General features: G+C 38.3%; 1 annotated feature.

Annotated features, from left to right (window-relative positions):
• Positions 3396 to 4004: an enhancer, noted in NCBI's record as "OCT4-NANOG hESC enhancer chr18:65772919-65773527 (GRCh37/hg19 assembly coordinates)". NCBI's record gives its function as "activates a minimal SCP1, AML or CMV promoter by ChIP-STARR-seq in naive H9 embryonic stem cells {active_cell/tissue: H9 hESC(naive)}" and the evidence as "EXISTENCE:reporter gene assay evidence [ECO:0000049][PMID:30033119]".

Below are 5077 nucleotides of genomic sequence, written 5' to 3'. Positions count from 1 at the left end.
GACAGAAGTTATAAGAAAACACTTAACTGAAAAAATGTAGATTTCAAATAAACATATGAAAACACATTCAATATAATTATACTTAGGATATTATAAAATGAAACAATAATGAGACACTGCCACACATCAACTAGAAAGGCTAAAATCCAAAAAACAAAACAACAAAACAAACGAACAAACAAGAGCTGCCAATACCAATCACTAGGCAGGATGCGGAGCAACAGAAACACTCCCAATCTGCATTCTTATGGGAATACAAAATGTACAGTTTCCTGAAAGACAACTTGGCAGCTCCTTAGAAAGCTCTGCATGTCCCACTGTATGATCCAGCAATCATGCCCCTAGGTATTTGCTCAACAATTTGCTCAACAACAAAAATAATACCTTTGCTTGTACCCATTAGTGTACTTCTACACACACAAAAACCTGCAAACAAACATGTATAGCAACTTTATACATAATTGCCTTGAACTGGAAGCAACCAAGATGCCCTTCAATAGGTGAATCAAAAAACTGTCACATTCATACAATGGACTATTATCCAGTGATAAAATAACTGATTTATGAAGCCATAAAAAAAAGTCTGAACCTTAAATGTGCATTGCTAAGTGAAAGAAGCCCATCTGAAAAGGCTGCATACTTTATCATTCCAATTATATAACATTTTAGGAAAGGAAAATCTATACAGACAATAAAAAAATCAGAGGTTCAAGGATGTAAGAGAGTTTGAGTAAGTGAAGTATAAGAAATTTTTAGGGTGGGGAAATTATTAAATTATACTGTAATTGTGAATACGTGACACTACTGTCAATTTGTCAAAATCTGTTGAACTTTTCAACACTACATGTGATCCCTAATATAGACAAATGAACAAAGTCATTAAGGAGATCACAAGAATCCTAAGATAAATTGCAGAATGGTATAAAAGGATCTGACTCCATTATAAATGTATGAAAGAATATCACTGAAGGAATTGGGGAGAAGAAAACGCTCACCTAAGTAACTTCAGAAATGAGCAAAGTCTGTAAAACTAAAGGCAAAATAAAAGCAAACAGAAAAATTGTACATAAACACTCTAGTTGATAAATTTGCTCCCTTACACGGGTGTGGGTTAACAGTTCTGATGGGTACTGCTCTTCATCCATACTGGAATTGAATAAATGAATGGCAGGTGTTAGAAGCCAGATTTCTCACTGTTGGAGTGAGTTTACAGGTAAGCAAGGGGGCAGTTAGAACGACTCATGTGATAATGAGTTAGAATTAGATACATCAGTATAAGCTCATGTTTAGCTTAATAGAGACATTAATATTTTCTGATGGAAATATATTTGTATTTATCCATGGGATAGTATACCACTTATATTTCCATGTTCTGTCTGCTAAAAGGGCCTAAAAAAAATGACACCTTCATAACAACCAACACTCATAGACCACATCTTGATTTCTAATATCACTTTACAATAAAAGAACTAAGGCCTGTTTTAAAAATGGCTGATTCTAAGACTGGGACAGGATCTAAAAAGATGAGTGTGAAGCATTGTACAGGGTCAGAAAATATGGAAGTACCAAAAGCAACACACATACAATGGAGATGTGTCAGAGAGGTACGACAGCCAACTCAGAGAGCTCCCAGTGGGCACAGCTGAAAGAATTTGAGCAACAAAACAAATAAAATAGTATCACATTATAACCCAAAGTATACAACGAATATCTATGTGTCTATATTGAATACATAAATTATTGAATAAATAAATATATGGGACAGAATGGACAAAACTCTCCTGCAACAGGAGTCCAAATACTCTATGTAGCTATTCTGCCATCAAGTGAGCAGACCATAACTCCCTAATCCTTAATTGTGGACTGCACACAGTGGCTTCCTTTCAAAGAGTACAGTATGGAAAGAAGAAAGTGGGAAAAAGTAATCTTTGAGTAGAGAAACCTAATACACCTTAGGCAGGTATTCAAGGTCAATATTAACAGTGATAAGTCATATTGATTGTATGTTCTCTTGGTATGATGAGATGACAGTGGTACCTTACCACTGAAGTCTTCCTACAAAAACCTAAATCCCAGTGTAATTATGAGAAAGCAATCATGTAAAACCAAATCAAGGAAAAGTCTGCAAAATATGTGACCAGAACACCTGAAAATTCTCAAGGTCATCAAAACAAGGAAAGCCTGAGAAACTCTCACAGATAACAAGACCCTAAGCAGACATAATTAATGTGTACTCTTAGATGGGAGCATAGAACAGGAGAACATTAGGTGAAAACTATGGAATTCTGAATTAAGTATGGACTTTAGTTAACAAGGATGTATCAATATATTGGTTCATTAATTGTAACAAACATTCCATCCTAATGAAAGGCTTTAATAATAGCAGAATCTGACGGCAATATGTGGAGACTTTTTGCAGTATCTTTGCAATGTTTCTGTAGTTCGGAGAAAATTTTAAAAGAAAGCGTCAGTTTAAGAACATACACACAGCAAAGCAGAGAACAACTATAATATATCTCTACAGATACATACAATCAATCACATCAATTTTGATTCATACACCATGGTTCTAATTTTCTGTAACAGAGTAAAGATTCTAAAGTTTTCATGAAAATAGGAAAACAAGAAAAGAGAAAATGAGCATTGTGTCATGGAGAAAAACACCACAATCACACACTGGTTACTTGGCTCTCAACCTACCATTCTGTTATTTCACTTCAGTTAAGTATCACTTTCCAATGATTGCTATAAATATTTTATTCCTAATAAACACTACACCTTGCGTGATGCAGGCAAATCCCTTGAAACAGGGCTTAACCTAAAGTGAATGATCAGTAAGTGGTAGCAATTGTAATAATTAAGGGGAATGAAGTCATTGTACAATATTAAAGTTCCAATGATTGTCATACAATGATTTTATGTATATATACATATATATATGTATATATATATGTATATATATATGTATATATATATGTATATATATATGTGTATATATATAATCACAATGCAGGGTATAAAATTTATTCAGACTAAATATAGATCTCAGGACTGTAGTTTTCTAGTGTAATCAACTGAAACCACCTTTATTTTTTTCAAAATCCCACACCATGGTGCCTTTATGTTCAGAATGTGTTCATGATAAAGTTAGTTTTCTATTTTGCTTTTCTGCAGATGATTAGGATTTTGTTTTCCTGGGGGAAGTTGGCCATGAGGGTAGGAACAACGCTGTGTGACGTGAGGCTTAGCCAAAAAAAGATGCGACTCCAGCAAATTAAAGGCTGAAGAAAACACAGGACTACTTTACAAACCTGTAGGTTCTACAACACTGGGAGGCCCCCGGGAAACAAATCTTTGGAGAAGAAATCAGCAACCTTGTGAAACGCAACAGCAACATGGCAGTAAACAAATAGGGCCATTGGTGGGGAGAATGGAAGTGCTGGAGTGAGAGGACATGAGAAGGAGTTTTGTAGTATCTGTGGGGAAAAGAAAGAGAGATCAGACTGTTACTGTGTCTATGTAGAAAGTAGACATAAGAGACTCCATTTTGTTCTGTACTAAGAAAAATTCTTCTGCCTTGAGATGCTGTTAATCTGTAACCCTACCCCCAACCCTGTGCTCGCAAAAACATGTGCTGTGTGGACTCAAGGTTTAATGGATTTAAGGCTATGCAGGATGTGCTTTGTTAAACAAATGCTTGAAGGCAGCATGCTTGTTAAAAGTCATCACCACTCCCTACTCTCAAGTACCCAGGAACACAAAACACTGCGGAAGGCCGCAGGGACCTCTGCCTAGGAAAGCCAGGTATTGTCCAAGGTTTCTCCCCATGTGATAGTCTGAAACATGGCCTCGTGGGAAGGGAAAGACCTGACCGTACCCCAGCCCGACACCTGTAAAGGGTCTGTGCTGAGGAGGATTAGTGAAAGAGGAAGGCCTCTTTGCAGTTGAGATAAGAGGAAGGCATCTGTCTCCCGCTCGTCCCTGGGCAATAGAACGTCTCCCTGTAAAACCCGATTGTATATTCCATCTACTGAGATAGGAGAAAACCACCTTAGGGCTGAAGGTGAGACATGCTGGAGGCAATACTGCTCTTTAAGGCATTGAGATATTTATGTATGTGCACATCGAAAGCACAACACCTTTTTCTTTACCTAGTTTATGATACAGAGACATTTGTTCACATGTTTTCCTGCTGACCCTCTCCCCACTATTACCCTATTGTCCTGCCACATCCCCCTCTCTGATATGGTAGAGATAATGATCAATAAATACTGAGGGAACTCAGAGACAGGTGCTGGTGTGGGTCCTCCATATGCTGAGCGCTGGTCCCCTGGGCCCACTTTTCTTGCTCTATACTTTGTCTCTGTGTCTCTTTCTTTTCTCAGTCTGTCGTCCCACCCGACTAGAAACACCCACAGGTGTGGAGGGGCAGGCCACCCCTTCAGTATCTCTACTCATGCAGGCGATGAACAATTATTAAAACAAAAAAACAAACTTACAATTTGTTTTGAGGGACCTTGATGTTCATAAATGTGTTCAGAAAAGTGCTATAAGGCAATACATTCAAGTTACTGTTTTTGTTTGTTTTTTTGTTTGTTTTGTTTTGTTTTCAGACGAAGTCTCTCTCTGTCTCCAGGCTAGAGTGCAGTGGCACGATCTTGGCTCTCTGCAAACTCCGCCTCCCGGGTTCCAGCCATTCTCCTGCCTCAGCCTCCCGAGTAGCTGGGACCACAGGCGGCCACCACCATGCCCGGCTAATTTTTGTATTTTTAGTAGAGACAGAGTTTCACTGTGTTGGCCAGGATGGTCTCGATCTCTTGACCTCGTCATCTGCCCACCTCGGCCTCCCAATCTGCTGGGATTACAAGTGTGAGCCACCGTGCCCAGCCAAGTTACTGTTTTTTTAATACAGCTGAGTTTATAATTTCATCTGTGGCCGGGGATCTAGACAGCCATAGGGTACCCCTCAGCCAGACAAAACTTTAGACAGATTTCTTCCTGACTCTACTCCCTTTTCTTAGAGCATTTACTTTAGAAAACTTGTAATTTTAAATCCTTTCTCTAATCCTCTGAGATG

The sequence above is a fragment of the Homo sapiens genome, chromosome 18 (genome assembly GCF_000001405.40).
Source record: "Homo sapiens chromosome 18, GRCh38.p14 Primary Assembly".
NCBI lineage: Eukaryota > Metazoa > Chordata > Mammalia > Primates > Hominidae > Homo > Homo sapiens.
The sequence above is the reverse complement of the archived record's forward strand: the minus strand, read 5'-3'. Positions and strand labels throughout refer to the sequence as shown.